The sequence below is a fragment of the Homo sapiens genome, chromosome 3 (genome assembly GCF_000001405.40).
Source record: "Homo sapiens chromosome 3, GRCh38.p14 Primary Assembly".
Classification (NCBI taxonomy): Eukaryota; Metazoa; Chordata; class Mammalia; order Primates; family Hominidae; genus Homo; species Homo sapiens.
The window spans coordinates 124,915,230-124,941,353 of record NC_000003.12 but is presented as its reverse complement, the minus strand read 5'-3'; the positions used below and the strand labels follow the sequence as shown (position 1 = coordinate 124,941,353).

Below are 26,124 nucleotides of genomic sequence, written 5' to 3'. Positions count from 1 at the left end.
CTAATTTTTTAATTTTTTGTAGAGATGGTGTCTCACTGTATTGCCCAGGCTGGTCTCAAACTCATGGACTTAAGTGATCCTCCCACACTGGCCTCTCAAAATCATGCCCAGCCAAGAACATTTTTAAATTGCTCTTAATACCTGTTGCCAAATTGTAGCATATTACAACGTAGCAATTGTAAAGCATATTGAATTATTTGCACCCCCACCAGAGTTGGATATATCATTGTACACATTTTTAAAAGATGTAAAATATTACACCAGTGTGGTGGCTCACACCTGTAATCCCAGCACTTTGGGAGGCCGAGGCAGGTGGGTCACTAGAGGTCAGGAGTTCGAGACCAACCTGGCCAATTTGGTGAAACCCATCTCTACTAAAAATACAAAAATTAGCCAGGTGGGGTGGTGTGCACCTGTAATCCCAGCTACTCAGTAGGCTGAGGCAGGAGAATTGCTTGAACCTGGTAGGTGGAGGTTGCAGTGAGCAGAGATCATGCCACTGCACACTAGCCTGGGTGGCACAGTGAGACTCCATCTCAAAAAAAAAAAAATTAAAATAAAAAAAAAGAGGTAAAATATAATCTCACTTTTGTTTTAGTTGTAACATCTTTAAGATGAGTAAAGGCCGGGCACAGTGGCTCACACCTATGATCCCAGCGCTTTGGGAGGCCGAGGCGGGTGGATCACGAGGTCAGGACATTGAGACCATCCTGGCTAACACGGTGAAACCCCATCTCTACTAAAAAATAAAAATAAAAAAATTAGCCAGGTGTGGTGGCGGGCGCCTGTAATCCCAGCTACTCGAGAGGCTGAGGCAGGAGAATGGCATGAACCCAGGAGGCGGAGCTTGCAGTGAGCCGAGATTGCGCCACTGCACTCCAGCCTGGGTGACAAAGCGAGACTCCCTCTCAAAACAAACAAACAAACAAAAAAAGATGAGTAAAAAGCTAAATATTCTTCCCCCACATATTTACTTACTAATAATATTTTCTCTTTTGAATAATTTGATCATGACAACCAACTTTTGGAAGATAAATTGTCTGAATGCACTGTGGGTCTGAAGACCCCAAACTGTGTCTTATTTCTTTGCATTCCCTGTTCCCTGCACCTAGAACAAATCGGACGGCCTTCATTCATTCCTTCCTTTCTTCCATAAATCTTTACTGAGCACCTGCCATGTGCCAGCTGTTCTGGATGCTGGAGACAGAGGAGTGGACAGGGAAGAGAAACTCTCATGGAAGTTAGGCAACAGGTAGCTAAACCAGCAAAGAGACAAAGTAATTACATATTGTGATGAGGGCTATGGAGGAAACGAACTGAGGTGGGATGGTCAGGCGAGTAGACCAGCTCCTTTAGATAAGGCCCCCAAGGAAGATCTGGCCTGTCGTTCTCCTGCTTAAATGTTCCCATGGCTTCTGCCATTGTGCTTAGAATAAAATCCACATTCCTTTCCACAGCCTCTAAGATCCTGTAGGATCAGGCCCCAGCCTGCCTCTCTGACAACATCTCCCCCCAGTCTCCTCCTAAATCATGGTGCTCTTCAAACACACCAGACTTGTTCTGGCCTCAGGCCTTTGCACTTACTACTTTTCTAGCTGGAATGCCCTTTTTCTGATGTTTATATGGCAGGCTTCCCTTCAATAGCAGCTCTCAGTTCCGATATCAGCTCCTGCAAGAAGGTTTTGCTGACCATCCTATTTAAAGTAGCACCTCATACCCCACAAGTCACTATCCCATTGTTGTGTTTTATTTTCTTCAGAGCATTGACCACTCTCTAAAATCATTGTATTTAATTACTTTTTTTGCCGACCTCCACTACCCATGATCTCACAGAAGCTTCAGGAGAGCAGAGACCTTCATCATCTTGTTCACTGCTTCATCTTCGATACCTGATGGATGTGCAGAGATGCCTCGAGTACCTGGGAGTGACTGAACAGCCCCCTCCTGAACATTACTCATGTAAAGCAACCATTCACTGAAAAGTTAATTTCAGAGGGTATAAAAAGCAAGAGTGGAAATGGTTCTGTCAATGTGTCATCAATTAGACATTTGAGTTGGGAATATTGCATTCCACAAGTCATTTCTCTGGGAATGGTCTTCTGAATTAGAGAGGAAAATGCTGATCAGCTTCATGTAGTATCTAAATGTGATATCCGTAAATGGTAGTAGTGACTCTGGGAAGGCTATACTCACACCTCTATTGAGGGGCTGGAATTAGTGAGAAGGAGATAGGAGCTTAACATGTATTTACATTTGGTTCTATAGACAGAAAATAATCTTTGGGTCTAACTATTTAATCTTGATAGAATTTTATGTTTTAATGATCCTCTAGAGCCTTATCATGGTACTGCAGTGTTGCAGAATCAAAGTAGCCAAAGAGGAGCTCTTTTGTTTGAGACAGGGTCTCGCTCTCTCGCCCATGCCGTGGTGCAGCAGTGCAATCTCGGATCACTGCAACCTCCGCCTCCAGGGTTCAAGGGATCCTCCTGCCTCAGCCTCCCAAGTATCTGGTACTACAGGCATGCATTACCATGTTAAGATAATTATTTTAAAATTGTTTTGTAGAGACAAGGTCTCACTATATTGCTTAGGCTGGTCTCAAACTCCTGGGCTCAAGCAACCCTCCCACTTTGGCCTCCCAAAGTGCTGGGATTACAGATGTGAGCCACCTCACCTGGCTAGAGAGGCTCTTGATGGATCAAATTCTAATTCTAAATGGCTCTGATATAGCTCTCTTGAGTTTATGCCTAAATAACTGGATATTGCTTTAGATTAATGGGCATGTCCCATTCCTCTGCATAGTCAATAGAATTATTGAAAAGCTCACCCTGAACAATAGTTCTTTTGCAACCAGGTAATTATGGGTAAACAGCTTTTTTTTTTTAGCTGACTTGGTGACAACGTTACCAACATATAACATTGTTTCTGTGGGAAAATGGAGTCTGTGTTCTTGACTTATAGATAAATACTTAGAATTTAGCCATTTCATACTAATAAATATCAACCCTTTTTCCTATCCAGGTTTTGAGTTCTGTGAGAAGTAAAACACAGAGTACAACAGATGGAGACAAAATATTACTTTTATAGAAGCTTATTTTTGAGAATGTGGCTTAGGGCTCCCTCCTTCTGGATCCTTACCTTCTTGGGCACAACAATCCTGAATCCAGGTTATCTCCCCAAATGGAAACTGCAGGATCTGAGGTGAGTATTCCCAGTTTATTCTGAAATAAGTCACTACTCTTCCTTTAGGGCAAAATGAATAAAGACATGCCAAGAGGCCAGGAGTGTTTCAGGAATTAAACTCCCTCCATTAGTGAGGAAACATCAGCCCTGAGGAAGAAGAAGTTTCCCTCATGAAAGCTCTGTGTATTGTCTCTGTCATCCTGCAGTACTGAAGTCCTGTGTGGATGCTTTAGGAGCGGGCATACCGGTGATTGCTGATTTATACTTTGAGGACTGCCTGACTTTCTGGCTGCCCATATTTTTCCAGATGATAAGGCCAGGGAAGAGTCAGGGAGCCAGATGCTTGGCAGTACTCCATGCCTTCCTGGTTATACTTTTCATTCTATGCTCAGCAGATAAGTAATATAGAAAACCATGGAAATATTGACACTGTTGTAATATGGTGGCATCAGTAGACATTAGTGATAGAGCACTGTGGGCGCTACTCACTTGATATCTTGAATCTAAGACATGATGGGGTGTGATAGGCTTCTCCCAGTTTAGGAGACAGGATTTGAGACCCTGCATTTGAGATCCTGCAGCTACTTATGTGACCCCAGGCCACTTTTTCAATTTTTCTAGATTCCTGGTTAGGCTTTTATAAAGTGAATATAGTAAGTTTAAAATGCCATATAAAAATGACAGAAAAGGAGAAAAGATTTGCAATACATATGTAAAGAACTTTTACCATTAAAAACCAAGAAGAAAACCAATTCAACGATACAATGTGCAAATTATTTGAACAGGTACTTTACAAAAGAAGAGACACGAGTGACTAATATGCACATAAAATGATGTTCAACATCATTTGTCATCAGGAGATGCAAATTAAAACAAAAGTGAGATGCCACTACATACCCTTTAGGGTAGCTAATATAAAGACGGACAATACCAAGTGTTGGCAAGGATAGGGAACAACTGGAATTCTCATATATTGCTGATGTAAAATGGCATAACAACTTAGGAAAACCATTTGACCATTTATTAAAAAGTTATATAGCTACCATGTGATGCAGCCATTCCATTCTAAATATTTACCCTAAAGAAATGAAAGTGTATGTTCATACAAAAACTTGTACATGAATACTTATAACTTTTTTTTTTTTCTCGAGATGAAGTCCCGCTCTGTTGCCCAGGCTGGAGTGCAGTGACGTGATCTTGGCTCACTGCAAATAATACTTCCGGGGTTCAAGGGATTCTCCTGCCTCAACCTCCTGAGTAGCTGGGGTTACAGGTGCCTGCCACCATGCCTGGCTAATTTTTGTATTTTTAGTACAGATGAGGTTTCGCCACATTGGCCAGGCTGATCTCCAGCTCCTGATCTCAGGTGATCCACCTGCCTCAGCTTCCCAAAGTGCTGGGATTACAGGTATGAACCACCACACCTGGCCTTATTTATAATCTTTTTGTTTGTAATAGTCAAAACTAGAAACAACTCAAATGTCCATCGACAGATGAATTACCAAACACGCCATGGTACATTGATACAGTGGAATAGTGTTCAGATATAAGAAGAAACAAACTATGAATTCACACAGCAAGGATGAGTCTCAAAATGGTTATAAGTGAAAGAAACTGGCTCAAAAAACAAAACAAAACAAAAAACTACATCTGTATGATTCCATTTACATAAAATGCTAGAAAATGCAGACTAATTTATAGAGACAGAAAGCAGATCAATGGTTACCTGGGGTTGGGGTGGAGTATAGGGGATGTAGCACTAAAAAGGGACAAGAGGAAAGTCCCAAAGGGTGTGTTGGGAATGCTCGGTATCTTGGTTGCAACGGTAGCTACACATGTATATACATCAATCAAAATTCGTTGAACTGTACACTGTAAATAGATACAGTTTATTGACATAAATTATAGCTCAATAAAGCTAGTTTAAAAAGAAAAGAAAAACAAGCCTTTGTTTAAATCCTGATGCCAGGAGTTATTCAAGCTGAGAATAATAGCATAACATAATGGGCCTTAGAAGTGTCTTTGCTTTGGAAAAAGTGTTTAAATGGACCTCTCAGCCATGTAAGAACAAACCCCTGTCTTATTCTTGAATGGAGACTCTAGGACAATAAGCAGCTTATCTGCTGGGCGATCATACAAAAATGTTTTGTTTTCATCAAGGTCAGGGTTAAAATTTAAACCCAAAGGCCAGGTATGGTGGCACACGCTTGTAATCACAGCACTTTGGGAGGCTGTGGTTGGGGATTGCTTGAGTCTAAGAGTTTGAGACCAGCCTGGACAACATGACAAAACCCCATCTCTTCTGAAAATACAAAAATCAGCCAAGCATTGTGGTGTATGCCTGTAATCCCAGCTACTTGGGTGACTGAGGCAGGAGGATCACTTGAGCCCTGGAGGCAGAGGTTGCAGTGAGCTGAGATCGTGCCACTGCACTTCAGCCTGGGCGACAGAGTGAGACTCTGTCTCAAAAAAAAAAAAAAAAAAAAAAAAAAACTTAAACTCAAAACTCTAGCCACAACTCACAAGGTATCATTAGTTTATATTCCTCTGGCTGGGGCTAGACACAGTAGAGTTGGGGCCCTGGACTTTAAGGAGGGAAAATTAGATTAAGAAGACCCAAATCCAAGCAGTAAAGCTGGTTCCTGACACATGGTGAGAGGTGAGGGGCTGAGGAACTAGAGAGAGGGTGAGAAAGGGAACTGAGAAGTGGGGCCTGCCCAATGAGTGGCCAGGAGCAGAGAGATCAAATCAGCTGTTCTAAGTTTTCTCTTTTCTGTACTTTATTGCCAACTCCCCAACACACCAGTCACCCACAAGACTTCAGTAAAGTTAGGTTAAATGCCATGATGTGATGTCCATTGTGCTTGGGAACTTTATTGGGGGCTGTATCCAGGTAGAGTCACAGAAGCTTGGAGATGTGATTACAAAGTTGCTAGACATGACCATCAGAGAGGCCCGGAATGGTAGTCCCCAGCATACAGTGACAAAAGTTAAGCAACTAATAATTTTGGGAAACATGTAAGTCCTCTTCAGGGATTCTCAGAACTACAGCTGGAGGAAAGTGGTTTCCTGCACTCATATGTGGGTGAGTAGAGCACAGTTTGTTATTGAATGTTTAATGGAATGGTGACCTCCTAAAAGATGGCGGCTTGGAGACATTTGAGATATCAAGAGATTAACCAAACTCATGTGCCACCAACCTCACAAGGATATTTGGAATGTCCTGACTTATTTTGGGCTTTGAGTCAGAAAAATGATTCGTAAGGCCAGCTCCACCTCTTCTATCTCAAAAGCTCGGAAGAGATCTATGGTATTTGGCCAAATGCTAGCTATAATTGCCTTTCTGTGGTTTGACGTCAATTAATGACTGGACTTTGTACCCGAAAGACAGTTAAAACGAAAGGTAGCCAGGAAGGGAAATCATTTCCTCCTCAGATTACCAAGCAAGAACAGCTAAAATGAAAGCCATCATTCATCTTACTCTTCTTGCTCTCCTTTCTGTAAACACAGGTAAGGAATATTTTTACATTTTAATTCTTCCAATCATGTATGTTGTCTTTGAGGTAGAATCAGCAGGCCTATAGCTACCAATTCTCCCAGCCCAGCACATGGTCTATTTTATAAATGAAGTTTCCTCTCCAGCTCAGCTCAAAGACACAGACATTTTATCCTGTGATGGGGAAGATAGAGCAATAGCAAAAGTGGTCTGTGGGCTGGGCGCGGTGGCTCACGCCTGTAATCTCAGCAATATGGGAGGCCGAGGCAGATGGATCACTTGAGGTCAGGAGTTTGAAACCACCCTGGCCAACATGGTGAAACTCCATCTCTACTAAAAATACAAAAAAATTAGCCAGGTGTGGCGGTGGGCACCTGTAGTCTCAGCTACTCAGGAGGCTGAGGCAGAAAGAATCGCTTGAACTCGGGAAGTGGAGGTTGCAGTGAGCTGAGATGACACGGAGTGACAGAGCGAGACTCCATCTTGTAGGGGTGGGGGGAAGAAGTGGTCTATGGAGTGAGATCTGGGGGCTCAGCAAACCAGAGGTTTCTCTTTGAGAGTTCCTGAGGCCAGATAAGAAGGACTAAGTAGGTTGCAAGGACCCAGTTCTCTACTATAGCGTTCTGGATCCCCTCTCATGATAATCAGAGAGCTGACCACAGCAAAAAGCCTCCTTTCACAAATGTACTTGAATTTGAGAATGCTAAACCATAGGGAGTAATTGTCACGTTGATTAGACTTCAGACATGTACTCTCTGTTCTGAGTTAGGAAGGGTTCTATGGGCCACATGTGGGTGAGGTCAGCAGTATGTTGAGAGGTGAGGGTTGTGGAGGCCAATTGGCTTCCTAAAATTTTGCAGAAAAATCACTGGCATGAAGTAGATGGACTAATAGGAAAAAAGGCATACAACTGTATTTAATGTGTGTACCCAGGAACCTTCAGCATGAACACCCAACTTCCTGATGAGGTATAGAAGCTTATACACCATCTTGAGGTTACAGAAAGAAAGGGGGCTTGGATCTTGGTAAAACAAGTTATGGAAGAAGGGAGAAGAGGAATTCTGTTGAGGGGCAATAAATGATTATTAGGGAGAATAATTGGATCTGGGAACAAAAATGAACTTGTAGATAATTCTCCTTGGAATTTAAAGATCCTTGGAGACAGTCCTTATCTTGATGAAGGGTCAGCTCAGGGGTGGTTTCCTTCTCGGTCTTCTTTCCTGTAGTGGATAATGACATAACAGGGAGGGGAACAGGAGCAATAGTTCTTCTTTGGTGGATCAGTCCTTACAGCGCTTGTTGACCTCTAAGAGTTTTTAATTTAAAATACTCATTATATCATGGAGCTATATTTGGGGGTGAAATATTTTTATTTCCTTCAGGTTCAATGAGTTGAAATCTAGAAGCTGCTTGCAGAAAGGAAGAAAGTATTTGATAAGGCAGATGTATGAAGAGAAATTAAGCCCTTTCAGAGAACTGGAATGAATGGCATCAGGATTAGAGTTTTTTGAGAGCTGGTTTCAAGCTCTTAATGCTGGAAGGTTGGAGAAGGCTAGCTGCACAGGAGGGGAGGGCTCACCAGATCTCTCCTGCCAACCTTGGGGGCAGATGCTAGGTCCAAGCCTTCAGGACAAAGGAAGAATTGGTGAGGCTTGTATGACTTTCAGGAGCCACTGTTAAAAAAGGCTTGACTTTTTAAAAATAGAATAGAAGGGCGGTAGAAAGGGGAAAGTTGGCTGGGAGGGGACAAGGAGATGAATAGAGAGTTAAGGGAATCAGGAATCATTGAGGCTCAAGGGACCTTAGGGGAATGGAGATGTTTCTTGACCCAGAGAACCCAGGGGGAAGGGCAAAAGTAGGGCAAGCAGGGATTCAGATGGCATGCCACCACTTATTAGCTGTGGGGTGTCTCTGACCCTCAGTGTCTTCCTGTGTAGCAATAGAGGGGAAATCCCTATACTGAAGAGTGACTGAGAGGATTAAATGAGACAAAGAGCCTGATGTGCCGGGATACTGCCTGGCACATAGGGGCTTAATAAATGATTTCCCTTTTTGTCATGTCTGCACTTGGATCTGATTTTCTTTTCTTTCTTTCTTTTTTTTTTTTTGAGACCGAGTTTCACTCTTGTCGCCCAGGCTGGAGTGCAATGGCACGATCTCTGCTTACTGCAACCTCCGCCTCCCAGGTTCAAGCGATTCTCCTGCCTCAGCCTCCAGACTAGCTGGGATTACAGGCACCTGCCACCACACCTGGCTAATTTTTGTATTTTTAGTAGAGATGGGGTTTCACCATGTTGGCTAGGCTGGTCTCAGACTCTTGACCTCAGGAGATCCACCTGCCTTGGCCTCCCAAAGTGCTGGGATTACAGGCGTGAGCCACCACGCCCAGCCTGGATCTGATTTTCAAACTTTGGTTTTGATTTCCTCTTCTTTGTTTAAAAAAGTTATACAAGTAATGCAGACCCACTGTAACAAATCCAAACAATACAGATGTATATGAAATAAAAATTGAGCATCCAATCTGACTTCCCACCCATCTACCTCCAGATATATTAATACTGACAGTTTTGTGGCTACTAAGGTTTGCTTTTGAAAAAAATATTTATTTTATTATTTATTTATTTATTTTGAGACAGAGTTTTGTTCTTGTTGCCCAGGCTGGAGTGCAATGGCGCCATCTTGGCTCACTGCAACCTCCGCCTGCCAGGTTCAAGCAATTCTCCTGCCTCAGCTTCCCAAGTAGCTGGGATTACAGGTGCTCACTACCACACCTGGCTAATTTTTTTGTATTTTTAGTAGAGACGGGGTTTCACTACATTGGCCAGGCTGTTCTCGAACTCCTGACCTCATGATCCGCCCGCCTTGGCCTCCCAAAGTTCTGGGATTACAGGCGTGAGCCACCGCGCCTGGCCTTATATTACTTTTTGAGATGGAGTTTTGCTCTTGTCGCCCAGGCTGGAGTGCAATGGCACTATCTCAGCTCACTGCAACCTCTGCCTCCCAGGTTCAAGTGATTCTCCTGCCTCAGTTTCCCGAGTGGCTGGGATTATAGGTGCCTGCCACCACGCCCAGCTAATTTTTGCATTTTTGGTAGAGATGGCGTTTCATCATGTTGGCCAGGCTGATCCCAAACTCCTGACCTCAGGTGATCTGCCCGCCTCGGCCTCCCAAACTGCTGGGATTACAGGCATGAGCCACCGCGCCTGGCCTGAAAATTTTTAAAAAGTTGCTTTTTTTTTTTTTTGAGACAGAGTCTCGCTCTGTTGCCAGGCTGGAGTGCAGTTGTCACGATCTTGGCTCGCTGCAACCTCTGCCTCCTGGGTTCAACCAATTCTCCTGTCTCAGCCTCCCAAGTAGTTGGGACTACAGGCGTGTGCCACCATGCCCAGATAATTTTTGTATTTTTAGTAGAGACAGGGTTTCATCATGTTGGCCAGGATGGTCACAATCTCTTGATCTCATGATCCACCCACCTCAGCCTCCCGAAGTGCCGGGATTACAGACATGAGCCACCGCTCCTGGCCTGAAAATTTTTAAAAAGTTGCTTTTTAATGTAACGTTAAGGATTTTGGAGGTGTGTGTAAGGAATCACTACTTCAAACATGAGTTCCATCTCAGATTCTGAGCAACCAAGGGCAGGAAGTGTGTCTTGTACACCTTTACGTTCCTCCTCACCCCTATGCCTTGTATAGCACCTTGACTGCAAGAACCCCCGCACAAGCATTTACTGAAACAAATGAAAAATGTGCCAGTGACATTTGAAGAGCCTTTAACAGGCAAAACTTCCCAGGTTGTTTTTGCTTTCTCTGAGAGACTAGGACTGCATTATTCCACAGAATCTGATGAGTGCCTTTGGGAACCAACATCTCATCATAATGAAGAATTCAGATCTGGGAGAAAGGCGTTTGATTGTGACTTTCAGCTAGCTTTGAATAAAGCAGTTATAGGTGTGCCCTGGACAGGGGTGGTGATTATGGAGTGTTCCCCAGAAAGAAACCAGGTCAGGGCATATATTTTCCCATTGAAACCTATGATTTGTACCTCTGTGGACGTTGTGCTATCCTTGTGTTATTTAGAAGCTTTAGGACCTAAGGAAATAAAAAGACTAAAGTTATTTCTACTGCACAGATGTCTTCATATATTTCTGTTATCTATAGATTGAACAAAATAGGTTATTTTACAGTTCCTCTTGGGTATTTTTACTAGATAATTTAAGCCTGGGATATCAGCTCTAAGCTGTCTTCCCTGAAATCTATACAACCCTCAGATAAAACACATATATACACATAGACACACACAAGTGTATTTTAGTTTAAAAAAAAATCGTAGCTATTCACAGCAATGAATTGCTGTCAGCTTGGAATGTGTCTCATTTATTAAAACTAATTGAGCATTCTGAAATGTATTCTCCCTAGTGAACAGAAATTTAAAACCAAAATAAACAAGCCACCAAGTCCAAAACTCCTTGTCATAATTCCAAAGACCTGCAAAAACCTCTCAAGAAGTCCCAATTTGTTTTATGCACATCTACAGAAACATGTTGGTTCTTTGGCATCGGCCGAGAATGAATATTCCCAAAGCATGAAATTCAGGGTCTGGTGGGGTTGGGGTTGTTTGCACCCACAGTCTGCCAAGTCCTTTTCTTCTGTCCAGAGTTTTCCACAGCGAGAGCCAGCCCCTGGCCACTCTCACTGCTACTCCGATGATAGAGGGCACCGTGGAGGTCACTTCTATTTCCACCGCTTTCATTCTGATCCCCAATTTTCTCTATTTGCTTTTCTTGTGTTTGTTCCTCGGGGGTCTTGGCTTTTTCATTAAATGGATGGCCTTCCCCATAACTTTAATCAAGTGATAGTTAGGACATTGTCATCTCACAGACCTGGCTTTGCCTCTGGGCAAATTCCTTAACCCTTCTGAGTATTGGTGGGCTCTTCTGTCAAATGTGGGCACTTATGTCTACTTCACAGGTACAGTCGGGCACAGGGCCAGTGCTTGATAGATGAGAACTATCCTGAGTGGCAGGAATAGGAAGACTGGCAGTCAACATTGCCAGTTGCTGATGTATTTCTTACCTAGGAAGAGCAATTGCTGATCTCTTCAACACTTCTGAATGGCTATGTTAGCCAAGCCCTCTTCAAGGTGAAGAATCAGGCTCTGCCCTCAAGGGGCTCATAGACCCATCGGGGAATCAGGAAGCATATTCTGCAGTTCTCTGCACCCTAAGGTTTAGAAATTGCTTCCTCACTAAACCTTTTTCTTTCAATAATTTTTTTAACCTATTGTCAAGGTCAGAGTTCTTAGAGACAAGGAAAAGTTCTAGAAAACTTATCACTGGGCCAGGCAAGGTGGCTTACACCTGTTATCCTAACACTTGGGCGGCCAAGGTGGGAGGATCACTTGAGCCCAGGAGTTTCAGCGCTGCAGTGAGCTATTATGGCACCACTGCACTCCAGCATGTGTGACAGAACAAGACCATGTCTCTAAAAAAAAAAAATAAAATAAAAGAGTGGGGGAAGAAAATGGATCACTGGATCCCTAGAGTTTACTACTCCATGTGTCCAGGGGTTCCTAAAAGTTGTGAAAATGCGACTTTGATATCCATCATAGCTCAGAGGGCAAAGATCACTTATTCATCTTACTCTTAGTCAATGTATCTAGAATTGTGAATGGGAAAACACTACTAGAATAAAATTTTGGAAGAAGTATAATAAGCACTTAATGAGGTATTTTTATTTTATTATTCTTTAAATTACCCAACCCTAACCTTTCCCTCCCTCAATCTATCAAGGTAATGAAAAAATGGGACAGTTGCCTTAAAGTGCAGAAAGACAAAAGTAGTCCATTTCTGGGTAGTCACTGCGCCACCTTGTGGCATTCTCAATTGTCCTCACTGAGAATGGTCTGAAGTATATTAAACCCTGATCTACAGTTACGTGACTACAGGCATAAATAATATTACTTCTTAGTATTCAACTTAAAAAACATTAACTCTTCTGCGGGACTGGTGGGTCACATCTGCAATCCCAGCACTTTGGGAGGCTGAGGCAGGAGGATCATTTGAGGCCAGGAGTTAAGAGACCAGCCTAGCCAGCATAGTGAGACCCTCATCTCTAAAACACACAAAAAAATTAGCCAGCCATGGAGGTGTTACAACTGTAGTCCTAGCTATTTGGGAGGCTGAGGTGGGAGGATTGCTTGAGCCTAGGAGCTCAAGGCTGCAGTGAACTATGATCACACTACTGCACTCCAGCCTGGGTGGCAGAGCAAGACCTTATTCCTAAAATAAATAAATAAACATTAACTCTTTATTTGTCACATTTTTCAATAACATTTTTTCCAGTTTTGTCTGTTTAATTTTTAATGTTATTTATTGTGGGTTTTTTGTGTTTAGAAATAACCATGTATTTTAATTTTTAATGTAGTCATATATTTTCATTTTTCCAGAAAAGAATGAGTTGAGGCTGGGCATGGCACTTCATACCTATAATCTCAGCACTTTGGGAGGCCAAGGAGGGTGGACTGCTTGAGCCCAGGGGTTTATGACCAATCTAGGCAACTTGGGGAAACCCTACCTCTAAAAAAAAAAAAAAAAGAATGAGTTGGATATGATTTAGTATTAAGTAACTGCCATTAGTTATTCAATGTACTGTCTCCTCAAACTTGGTATCTTTGTTCCTCCAGCCACCAACCAAGGCAACTCAGCTGATGCTGTAACAACCACAGAAACTGCGACTAGTGGTCCTACAGTAGCTGCAGCTGATACCACTGAAACTAATTTCCCTGAAACTGCTAGCACCACAGCAAATACACCTTCTTTCCCAACAGCTACTTCACCTGCTCCCCCCATAATTAGTACACATAGTTCCTCCACAATTCCTACACCTGCTCCCCCCATAATTAGTACACATAGTTCCTCCACAATTCCTATACCTACTGCTGCAGACAGTGAGTCAACCACAAATGTAAATTCATTAGCTACCTCTGACATAATCACCGCTTCATCTCCAAATGATGGATTAATCACAATGGTTCCTTCTGAAACACAAAGTAACAATGAAATGTCCCCCACCACAGAAGACAATCAATCATCAGGGCCTCCCACTGGCACCGCTTTATTGGAGACCAGCACCCTAAACAGCACAGGTAAGGACAATTCCCTCAAAGACTCCCCAAGGATGGAGAGTACAATTGTGGAGGGAGGGAGGTGGGTATGTTCTGGTGGGGTAGGAAAATGGGTCTAAAGAGGCCCAAGGTTTCTTTGGAAATGAACTGTGGGCTTGAAATCTGTGTCACAATGTAGTGACAGCAGAGGCCCTAAAATCCTCAGTTTCCTTCTGTTCTCCTTTCCTTCCCTCCCATCCTACCTCAAGTTATTTGCTAGCTGTGCAGTATTTTTTTTAATGAACTTGGGCTTTGTGAAAGGTAGCTCTATAGCTTTCCTCTCCCTAGGGGATTTTTAGAAATAGTTTCAGCTGCTCTGAGAAGACCAGGTCCAAATAAGCACAGACTGTCCAGCACCACTGGTCTAGCTCTCTGGTCTACCTAAGGAAGAAGTCAGTTCTACCCTTGTAAGATGGTGGCTGATCACAATGTGGAACTTGAGCCAAGTCATAGAATTTGAGACTGAGGGGTAGAAAGCAAAACAACAGCAGTGTTCAAACAATCCTAGGCATAACCAGGGCCATTGTCCAAAGGACAGATGCTTTGGGAACACTAAGAGATGACAAGTGACCTCAAGCAGAAGTTAATGAAACAGGAACCATTTGCTTCACTTCCCCAAGCTCAGCCTATAACAGAAATCAACTACGTTTATCAGTAAAGGCTAAATGGCCTTGTGGGCCATGTGGGGTCTCTGTTGTAACTCCTGCACTCTACTATTTTAACATGAAAGCAGCCACAGTTAACAAACAAAAGGTTGGTCAGATATGACTCGTGAACCATAGTTTGCCAGCCCTTGATCTAGAAGAATCGTCACACTTTAGAGCCTAAAGAATCTAGATAAATCCTATCATTCTCAGATGGGAAATCTGGGACCCAGTGAGGGCCATGACTCACCCAGGGTCAAAGATCAAGTGGATGTCTCCCTACCCTTAACTTCTGGTAGCTTCCTCAATGTTCTTTGATAGATTTAAGAAATAGATGGTTAAGCAAGTAGACCCCAGAGGCTGTATCTAAGACCTCTTTCCCCAATCTTTCATGTTTGGAGGGGCCACTCTGAAGGCGGGATCCAATGGGACACAGCTGTCCTGGGATCAGGAAAGAGAGGTTTTCTAAGCCATTTCTGCTTCGCCAGGTGTTCCCTCAGAGTCAGGCCATCTTCCTGTGTTCTGGCCCTACCATGAACAAACTGTGGGGCATGGGGCAAGTCATTTCTCTCTTGGCTTCAACTTAGTGATCTGCAATAAGGCGAGACTGAACTAAAAAGCCCCCCAAATCTCTTCTGGCTGTAACATCCTGTGACTTAATCAATTCCTGGCCATGAAACAAGTTAATGAGTCTGTCCTTCGTTGCTGAAGAGAAAGCACCTCAGAGTTGTTTGTCTGGTGTCTCCAGAAGGAGACACATTCTTCCTTAAGATTTCCCAAGTCATCTTTGCAAGGTGGCTGAGGCTTTTCTTAAAGAAGCCATTAATTTTATTTAGAAGACTGGTTCATACTTTGTCAGAGGGGTGACGCTTATTTTTGTTTATAAGATACTGAACTATGCCTCCTTTTATCCCATATAGTCTATTTTTTTTCTCTTTAAAAAATTGTTAATGGAAGCCGAGCATGGTGGCTCACGCCTGTAATCCCAGCACTTTGGGAGGCTGAGGTGGGTGAATTGCTTGAGCTGAGGAGTTCAAGACCAGCCTGGGAAACATGGCAAAACCCCATCTCTACAGAAAAATACAAAAATTAGCCAGGTGTGGTAGCATGCACCTGTAGTCTCAGCTACTCAGGAGGCTGAAGTGGGAGTATCACTCAAGCCTGGGAGGCAGAGGTTGCAGCCAGCCAAGATTGTGTCAGTGCACTCCAGGCTGGGCAACAGAGCAAGGCCCTGTCTCAAAAATATAATGTTAATGAACTTTATTTTTAGAGCAGTTTTAGACTCACAGCAAGATTTAGAGAAAGGTACAGAGGTTTCCCATATACTCCCTGGCCTGACACATATATTATCAACATCCCCCACCAGAGCAGTGTGTTTATTACAATTGATAAACCTCCAGTGACACATCATTATCACCTACAGACCATAGTTTACATTAGAGATCACTCGTGGTGCTGTGCATTTTATGAATTTGGACAAATAAATGTATAATGGCATGCATCCACTATTATAGGATCACAACCCTAAATATCTTTTGCACTTTTCATCCTCCCCTCTAACTCCTGGCAACCACAGATCTTTTTACTGTCTCCACAGTTTTGCCTTTTCCAGAAAGTCATATAGTTGGAATCATACATTATGTAGCCTTTCGAGATTGGCTTCTTTTACATAGTAGCATGCATTTCCTCCATGTCTTTTCATGGCTTGATAGCTCATTTTTTAGTGCTGAATAATATTCCATTGTCTAGATGTACCAGTTTGTTTATCCATTCACCTACTGAACGGTATCTTGGTTGCTTCCAAGTAGTGGCACTCATGAACAAAGCTGATATTAACATGGATGTGCAGGCTTTTGTGTGGACATAAATTTTCCACACCTTTGGTTAAATACCAAGGAGGGTGACTCTCAGATCTTCTCGTAAGAGTATGTTTATTTTTGTAAGAAACCACCAAACTTTCCTCTCAAAGTGGCTGTGTCATTTTGCATTCCCACCAATGAATGAGAGTTCCCATTGCCCCATATTCTCACCAGCATTATTTTACTTTTTATTTTTTAATAAAAGTAAATTAGGCCTATAATTATGGAAAAAACAGCTCAAACAGGGCAAAATCATGTACAATAAAAAATAAATCTCCCTCTCATCCTAAACCCCCAGGACCCAGACCCCCAGTTTCCTTCCCCAGAGGCAACTTCTGTGCCCAATTCCTTGTATCTCCCTCCTGAAATTACCTATGCAAATATAAGCAAATATTTGCTTGTGTATAATCCTTCCCTTCTTTTATTCACAAAAGAGAGCATGTTATACACATTGTACCTTACATACAGCTTTTAAAGAAATCAGTGGTTTCTACATATAGGTTTGTAAGACTCTCAAGACAGCTCTGAAGGTTATCAAACACATAAGCTATTCTGACATCACAGCTCAGAATCATTCCACTTGACAGAAGTGAAGAAAACTCATAGCCCAGATCACCACTGGACCACTGAGCTAACTCTCCTCCTCAGATCTCATCAGTTCCCCAGAGAAAGAAAGATGCTACACCCTGCCTGGCCTGGGAGTCTCAGCCCACAGTGTAGAACCCATTGCAGTGTTATTTTCACCATTTATTCAGATGATCCACTTAGAAAGCCAGAGGCTGGAATGTCTTCTCATGGCCTCTTAGAATTTTCACTGAGTTAATCCACATTTCTCTCCTTTACTATCCCATTCCTGTTTTTATGGCTATGTCTCCTAGGTATGCCTAACAGAATGTGACATCTAGTTTCTTTTGGAGCTTCTTGGCTGTTTCTTCCTATATGACAATTATTCATACCTTTCTAAAAATAAGATGTTTTATCTAGAATGTTTTGGGGAGCCCCACCTAGTGTTAGAGGACCATGCTTCAAGGTTCTGGAGGGACTTTGAGATCTGAAGATTCCTGACTCCTTGGAGTCAGAAGACTGCAATCTCTCTTTCTTTGGGCAAGCCCTTGTACACTAATCTCTGATCTTTACTATTGACAAGTATTATACTTGGCTCTAGAATTTCAGAAACAAACTCTCTAGAGACCTAAGCAAGCAAATATTTGTTTTTAACTCTTCCAAAAGTGTGCTGTGGAGTAACACAAGCAAGGAATGGAAAGGGCCCAGGGGGGAGGCATGAAGATGGAAAAATACGTTTCCAGTTGTTATTTATTGTCATTTCTCTGGATTTCTAATCTCTTTCTACTCCATCTAAGGTCCCAGCAATCCTTGCCAAGATGATCCCTGTGCAGATAATTCGTTATGTGTTAAGCTGCATAATACAAGTTTTTGCCTGTGTTTAGAAGGGTATTACTACAACTCTTCTACATGTAAGAAAGGTGAGTTACAAGGGATGAGCCATGGCTGAGCTCTGTATCTCACACCAAAAGTGGAATCGAAAACTCAAAATGATGGCAAAAGGAGATTCCAAAATATGAGAGATAAAGAAAATGCAGAGGCAACAAAGGCCAGCAAAGTAGAGAAAAGTGCTGTTACCTAGGGACACTGAGGCAGAACAAGGTGATCTATCAAAGACCACACAGTCCAGCAACCCTGGGAGCCTGATCTTCAGTTCTGTGTCACAAGATTTGTTTGCTCCATAACATCAGATCCCCCTCTTAGAGACATAAGAGCCCTTCAGCTCTAAAAATGGATTTCAGGAGTACATTTATACACTTGTGGCATAATGATGTTTTGATTAGATCACCAGGGTGCAGTGAAGGTCTGAGGGCTGACTGTCTGAGTTCTGTTTTTTTTTTTTTTCTGTTTTATGAATGAGAAATATCTTCATTTTCCAGAGCAGCCAATTCTATAAGAAATGAATGCATTGCATTGCCCACTGGGGTTAGGGATATACCAAAAGGCCCCCAAATGCTCATATTTTTAGCACTAATAATCTCACTCCTGGGGATTTACTCTAAGTAAGTGACCCCAAATACAGAAGAACAGTTTGTGTGTGAAGATGTTCATTGCAACTTTTTCTTTTCCTTTTAAATAATTAAAAGCACTAAGTCCAATAACAAAAAATGATTACATCAAGGAAGGGGACATGTACTTCACAGAATATTATGCAACCTTTAAAAATGATGGTTATGAGACCAGGCATAGGAGCTCACACCTGTAATCCCAGCACTTTGGGAGGCCAAGGCAGGAGGATCACTTGAGCCCAGGAGTTCAAGCCTGCAGTGACCCAGTTGTGCCACTGCACTCCAGCCTGGGTGATAGAGCAAGACCCTATCTGTCTCTCTCTCTCAAAAAAAAAAAAAAAAAAAAAGACTAGGCAACGATTTGGAAAATACCTATTATATAATAAGAAGAAAAAAAATATGGCATAAACTTGGAATTACAACAATGTAAACTGTAAATGGAAAGAAATATACCAAAATTAAAATGGTTGTGCTAGGTTGGGCAGGATGATGGGTAACTTTTAAAATATTTCCAGATTTCCTGTAGTGTCGTTATATAATGTTGGGAATTCTAAAAAATAATCTATGTTTTAAAACAAAATGGAAATGACCCTCTTTTCATCAAATAGTACAGAAAGATTCTGCTTAACTTTCAGGAAAGGTATTCCCTGGGAAGATTTCAGTGACAGTATCAGAAACATTTGACCCAGAAGAGAAACATTCCATGGCCTATCAAGACTTGCATAGTGAAATTACTAGCTTGGTAAGTATTTTCCAACTTTCCTTTCTGTAAAGCATTCTTTGTTCTAACACTGAGTTGCAGAGTGTAGAGCTGGTCTTCAGGTGGTTCACGCTCGTACCATCGTACCAGTTGTTCAAACAGTGAAATGTACCTTTACTGGTCGGTAAACAGCAGCTGTCCTGAGCGCCTCCACCGGTGCCACCACTTCTTCATTGCCCAGGCCTCTCCCCTGGGACCCTTGGACCACCCCATGGTCTTGCACCTGGAGGCGTGGCACCTGGCCTGGCATGGCAGAGGGCCTGCAGAAGCTGGCTCCAGCCATACCATACCCATTGTTTTATAAGCTATTAACACAGTTTTAAATGGACAGATAAATATCATGAAGTTTTAAAATAAATTATTTCCACAGAATGAAAGAGAAAAAATTTAAAGATGTTGTTTTTCTTTTTTATATTCAAATTTGCATAAATTTTCATACTAGTCTGGCTTTTAAAAAAATGTCTAGAAGAAGAATTACATCTGAATATCTGTTACTTATTTTTCCCATTTTCAAAAATGTTGGCATGAACAATAGTTTCCCATCATTTAGATTATTGTGAGCAAGTGCACACATGTGAGCAAGCATGAAAGGAAAGGGTCTTTCCATTCTGCAGCCACAGATGTTAGCTCTGGAAGGACCCTCAGAGCATGTCCAGCCAATACAGCTCAAAGTTCAGTTTTAAAGGAAAAAATATTAGCCTTAAATATGTCTTAGAAGTTGAGGTGGAGGCTGGGCATGGTGGCTCATGTCCGTAATCCTAGCACTTTGGGAGGATGAGGCGGGCAGATTACTTGAGGTCAGGAGTTTGAAACCAGCCTAGCCAACATGGTGACACCCCATCTCTACTAAAAATACAAAAATTTAGCCAGGCGTGGTGGCAGGCGCCTGTAATCCCAGCTACTCAGGAGGCTGAGGCAGGAGAATCTCTTGAACCCAGGAGGTGGAGGTTGCAGTGACCCAAGATCATGCCACTGCACTCCAGCCTGGGCAACAGAGTGAGACTCTGCCTGGAGAAAAAAAAAAGGAAGTAGAGATGGAGAGACATTTTTTTAAAGCTGAAGTCTTATTCCATGACAATGTCTCTCAATTTGAAATTATATCACTATTAGAACTGGTAACATGTAAAAAATGTATCGTGGAAATGATTTTACAGATGGTGCAAAGAGAGCTAGTGCTTCCGACTGCACAGCCAGCCAGTACGTGACAACGCTAGGATAGGATCTGTGGCTGCTGTCTCACAGAGTTTGCTCTGTCCCTTTGCCATGTCACCTCTGCCCTGTGGGCCAGCTGGCAGTGACTTGCCCTCTCATCTTGGATCTGCTTTCAAATGTGCCAGCACGGATGTTTTCAGTACATTGAAGACAGCAACATCAATGTGGTCCTACTTCCAGGGAACCCCTGAAGAACTTCATGTGGCTTTACTGAGCAATGGTCACTTAGCACTACTTTCCCCAAACTTGACTTTGAGTGTGAGTGTCACAAAAGCCCCCTCCAGTTACAGGCCTTATGCCCCGGTCTTCAGAGATCAGATTAGATACTTGATCTCAGTCAGGGTTTGATGTTCCTGGGGGAACCAGTGAGGGGATGAAGCATTCTTATAGTTTCTGGGAGATTTGTAATCCAGAAGGGATGCACCAGAACTCCCTTGCAACCATTAGAGTAGAGTTAGGAAAATAGAGACAACTTACTTTCTTCAAGGTCCTCTTAGCAGCCTTTGTGGGGGCAGTCCCAGCTCAGACCCTAAGAAGTCTCCCAGGGTCCATTTTCTACCCAGTTGGATCCTGTTAAAAGCTAGATAGAGCATTATTTTTTTCTGCCTCATTTGATTTGTAGAAAATGTGAAAAAAAAATTTTTTTTACTTGTTATTAAATCTGTTTTCCTCCACAGTTTAAAGATGTATTTGGCACATCTGTTTATGGACAGACTGTAATTCTTACTGTAAGGTAAGTTTGTTATGGACAATTTTGGAGGCAGATGTGTGTCTGTCTAACTTCCGAGCTTCTCTTGAGGTCTGCATGTAACATTAAGGCCCTCTGTGGCAAGTCACAAGTTAAGAGGAGAGGGTCAGTCTCAGTCTGAGCACTGCAAAGGGGACTGTGTGCCTTGGCCCTGCCTCTGATGTCACCCCAACTCTGGGCAGGGCATGGCCTGGGGAAGGCAAAATTCTGTCTGTGATTGGCTATGCAACAACTTGTGCACATGGTCCAGGACATCATCTGGATCTCTTTGTTTGTCTTGATCCCATGGCTGCAAACCATATCTAGTCAATCTCTGGAATGTGCATTCCAGTGGGCCGGGGGGAGACTGAATGGCCCGTGATCATCTCTTCCCTCATATGGCAAGTGTGAGGGGGACAAGAACACCCAAATCACACTCCTGGCTAGAGAAGGGTCAGTGGTGAGCTTTCTGCAGTGAGAACAAGCACTTATTGAGCACTTCAATATGTAATGGCAAGTGCTGGGTGCTATTTAGGGAAACAAAGAGGCAGAAGATTCTCAAGAAATTAGCAATTGCATCTCAGCCTCCTCTGGAGCACATTAATACACACGTACTTAGGCTGAGGAAAGAATGCTCTAAGACAGATGAAGTTAGGTAGGAAAAGCAGCCCTCGTGTAGCAATGCACCATTTACATCTTAAGTCTTACTATTGTATTTATCCTTATAAGCCATATCAAATCCTTTGTGAAGGCCAGACATGGTGGCTCACATCTGTAATCCTAGCACTTTGGGAGACTGAAATGGGAGGATCACTTGAGGCCAGGAGTTCAAGACCAGCCTGAGCAACATAGTGACATTACATCTCTACAAAAAAAAAAAAAACCATTTTTTTTTTTTTTTTGAGATGGAATCTCACTCCTGTCATGCAGGCTGGAGTGCATTGGTGTGATATCAGCTCACTGCAACCTCCACCTCCCAGGTTCAAGCGATTCTCCTTCCTCAGCCTCCCAAGTAGCTGGGATTATGGGTGTGCACCACCACGCCCAGCCTAATTTTTGTATTTTTAGTAGAGACGGGGTTTCACCATGTTGGCCAGGCTGGTCTCGAACTCCTGACCTCGTGATCCACCCGCCTCGGCCTCCCAAAGTGCTGGGATTACAGGTGTGAGCCACCACTCCCAGCCTAAATAAAAACTTTTAAAAATCTTTGGTGGAATAAGAGAGAGAGAGAGAGTATGTGTATAAAATTTCAGAGAGGTATTTTAAAAGTGATGGATTTCTAGCTTGGTCTTGAATGAAGGGCAAGTCTGGTTGGCAGTGAAGAGGCACAGTTTTCATGGTGGGAGGCTGGCAGCAAACAGACAGGCTGGGCCCAAACACAGTGGCTCTGAAGCTGGAGGTGTACAGCGGACAGCTGCTGGAGGGCTGTGAATTGTTTCTGGGAATTAGGTTTGGTTTAGTGGACAATAGCCAGTTCATGTGTAGGGGATGACTGGATACAAACAGGAATGGTGAAATTGGAATGGAGTTAGCTAAGCCTGTACTTGAATCCTGGCCTTGGCACTTTGTCCCTGAGTGACCAGGCAGGTGTTCTAACCTCTCGGAACCTTTGTCACTGCCTCTGTATAATTGGGATAATCTGATCAACTTCCCTGGAGCCTTGTGAGGAGTAACTGAGATAAAATTTGGAAGATTCCCTGTATGCAGTGCCTGGCACATAGTTGATTTCAACATCATCTGTTTCCTTTCTAGAATATGGGACCCTGCAGTGTGATGGACAGCTGGTCCCACAAGGTCATTTGGGGGATCCCCAAAACTGTGGCACTCCTTTGATTCTTAAGGAGTTACTAAAAGGGAGCCAAGGGTGTTTGGAGGCAAACCTTCACCTGTGAGCTCAGAGGCATGGAGGGAACTACTTCCCCCACCTCAGGGGCCAGTGCAGGGCAAATGCACCTGGGGCTCACCTAGAAAGGCATTTCTTAGGCTCCAGCCCAAAATTATCTCTCCACTCTGACTCCCCAAGCTCTTTCAGCCCCAAATTGTCTCTCCCCTCTGACTCCCCAAGCTCTTTCCTACTATAGCAATGTTGGAATTGGAAGGATCCTCAGAATTTCTCTCTTTAAAACCTCTCTTTGGACAGAGGAAGAAACTCGGGCCTGGAGAAGCTGACTGGTCTCGGGCCACAAGGGTCCGGACCTCCTGTCTTAACTCCAAGCCTAGTGCCCTCGTCATTTATACTCAAGTGTGCAGTGGCTCCAATGTTCCCTTTAACCGTTTCACAGGTGTAACGTCTTGCCTCTCCTGAATTAGTGTATAAACTGGTAGATTCTTTTAATGAATAAATTATGGATGGCATTTGCTTTCCTAGTCCCAGTGCAAAGCTATGCCATATATTTCAACCAATATAGAATAATTTTTATCAAGTACACCTTTCTCACTGCCCTATTACATTCCACTGCCACTCCCTGCCGCCTCCCCCGCCCCCGCCCCCGCCCCACCAAATCCCATCATAAATGAATTATGGTAGAAAATATTAAATTACAATGCTGAAGCCCATTACATTTTTTGGGCTCCCTTTTGAGATGATTGTGCCTAAAAATGGAATTTGATTCATGTTTTGGATTTTTCTTGATTGTTCTGAGGACCCAAGGTGGCTGCAAACATTGCTTAAATAGGTTGGCTATATTTTCAGGCTTCTGCATTTATTCGAGAGTCAAAATGAAATTTTAGCTGGGCACGGTGGCGCGTGCCTGTGGTCCCAGCTACTTGGGAGACTGAGGCGGCAGGATAAGCTGAGCCCAGGAGGTCTAGGCTGCAGTAAGACGTGATCTCACCACCGCACTCCAGCCTGGTGACAGAGCAAGACCCTGTCTCAAAAAAAAAAAAATGTCAAAAAGGTGTATAGAAAAAAACATTTAGACAACAAAAATATATCCTGAGGCTTAAAAGCACAGAGCGACAAATCAGATAGTGAATGTTTTTAAAAGTCATTTTTCCCCCTGTTTCAGTGATTGTATCACTTGATTCATTTTGGACAATGAAATAATTAAACTTGGCACAGCTGTGCTTAGGGCTCCGAACTGCAGTGCTGATTAGAGAGAGAGAGAGAGAGACAGTGACAATGTCTTGCTCATGGCAGGCACTTCATATTGCTGGTAGGATTTGCTCATGTTTCCCGCAGCCCCGGCCCTCTTTGTTTCAGTTCTCCTCTGGGTCGTGTGTGTCCAGGCCCAATCATGTTCCCACTCTGAAACTGCCTGCTGACTTCCTGGTCCTTTCTGGGAGTGATCCAGGCTCTCTATGGCTGGTTACTGCTTTCTCCATGCAGAGGGAGGGACACGCGCCCCTCTGTCTCTCCCAAAGAACCAGACTGAGATTTAACAGCTGCTGTCCTACAGAAAGTGACAATTTCCCATTTCAGGTATTACTTGTTCTAATTCTGGTTAGCTCTAGGCTCCTAGATCCTTAAAATGTGATTCATAATTTTTCCAAAAATGGTTATCCACAATTTTCCTAAGTTTTCTCCAACAGAACATTGTTTTCACCATAGGTTTCCTCTGAATACACATCAAATAGAGACCTCCAAGCCTGTACATTGCCATCTTTTTGCAGCCCCCGGCCTCCATATGTGGGTCCGAATCATAGGGACAGGACAGCGGGTCAGGACTAGGGCCGGGAGATTCGGGAGTCTGGGAGATTAGAATTATTTGTTGATTCTTCAGTTCAATTCATTAAGTGACAGATTCATCTCATTTTTAGCACATCTCTGTCACCAAGATCTGAAATGCGTGCTGATGACAAGTTTGTTAATGTAACAATAGTAACAATTTTGGCAGAAACCACAAGTGACAATGAGAAGACTGTGACTGAGAAAATTAATAAAGCAATTAGAAGTAGCTCAAGCAACTTTCTAAACTATGATTGTAAGTATTGTATAATTTTATTCAAAGTTCACCTGAAGACCTACCTACCTTTTTTGTAAACCTTTTCATTATATGTGAAAAGGAGACAAGAACTGCATCATTGAACTGACAACTGTCTCTAAATTTCTTTTTATCCAATTCTTCTTCCCTTTTCTTGTTCGCTTGCCCTCTGCTTCTTTCCAACCATGTCCCAAGTCATCAAACTGACCAGTGTGTTCCTCTCTACGAAGGTATAAATGACCAGACAAACCACTGCTGGGCAGGGAAAGAAAAAGGAGAAACAACAGGGCTTTATGTCAGGTTAAAGATTTCCAAATGATTACAGAAAATTTTACCTGTGGCTGGGTGTGGTGGCTCATGCCTGTAATCCCAACACTTTGGAAGGCTGAGATGGGCGGATTCCTTGAGCCCAGGAGTTTGAGACCAGCCTGGGCAACATGGCAAAATCCCATCTCTACAAAAAATTAGCCAGGTGTGGTGGTGCAGGTCTGTGGTCTCAGCTACTTGGGAGGCTGAGGTGGGAGGATTGCATAAGCCCAGGAGGTTGAGGCTGCAGTGAGCTGAGATCACGACACCACACTCCAGCCTGAGCAATAGAGCAAGACCAAGCATTACCCGTACTATTTTCCCCTTTAGACACACACGAACCCACCATGTAGCTGTAGCAATTTGCGTTTGCTGTGTTACGAAGGTAGTGGCCAAAAACAACCATCATTTATTTACTGCAACCCTAGAATTCTATGGGTCTGAATTTGAGCTGGGCTCAAGTGGATAGTGTGCTGATCTGGGCCAGGCTTAATTGATCTCTGCTGGGCTCACTTAAGCATCTGCCATTAGCTGCTGGGTATAAATGGTTTGTCTCTGCTCCACATGGTCTCTTATCAGCAGACCCATCCAAAGGATTTCAAGAGCAGCAAGAGGGTAAGATTCAATGCACAAATATTTCTCAAGTCTCTGCTTACATCACAGTTACAACTGTCCAATTGGCTAAAGCAATTCGCATTACCAAGCACAGTGTGGAAGGGCCCTGCCCAAGGGGTACAGAAAGGTGTGAGTAAATTGATGTCATGACTGCAGTCAACCCACC

The 26,124-nt window shown here is 43.1% G+C and overlaps 1 protein-coding gene across 1 annotated transcript in view; it reads left to right on the top strand.

Annotated features, from left to right (window-relative positions):
- Positions 1-6,602: 6,602 nt before the first annotated feature.
- The window catches only part of MUC13 (mucin 13, cell surface associated), a 29,310-nt gene continuing 9,788 nt past the window's right edge, over positions 6,603-26,124 (top strand). The window contains exons 1-6 of the mRNA NM_033049.4: positions 6,603-6,693; positions 13,361-13,822; positions 17,705-17,827; positions 19,051-19,157; positions 21,065-21,120; positions 24,874-25,037. Coding sequence (NP_149038.3) covers positions 6,642-6,693; positions 13,361-13,822; positions 17,705-17,827; positions 19,051-19,157; positions 21,065-21,120; positions 24,874-25,037 — 964 coding nt within the window. The 5' untranslated portion in view covers positions 6,603-6,641. The remainder of the gene's footprint in view (positions 6,694-13,360; positions 13,823-17,704; positions 17,828-19,050; positions 19,158-21,064; positions 21,121-24,873; positions 25,038-26,124) is intronic.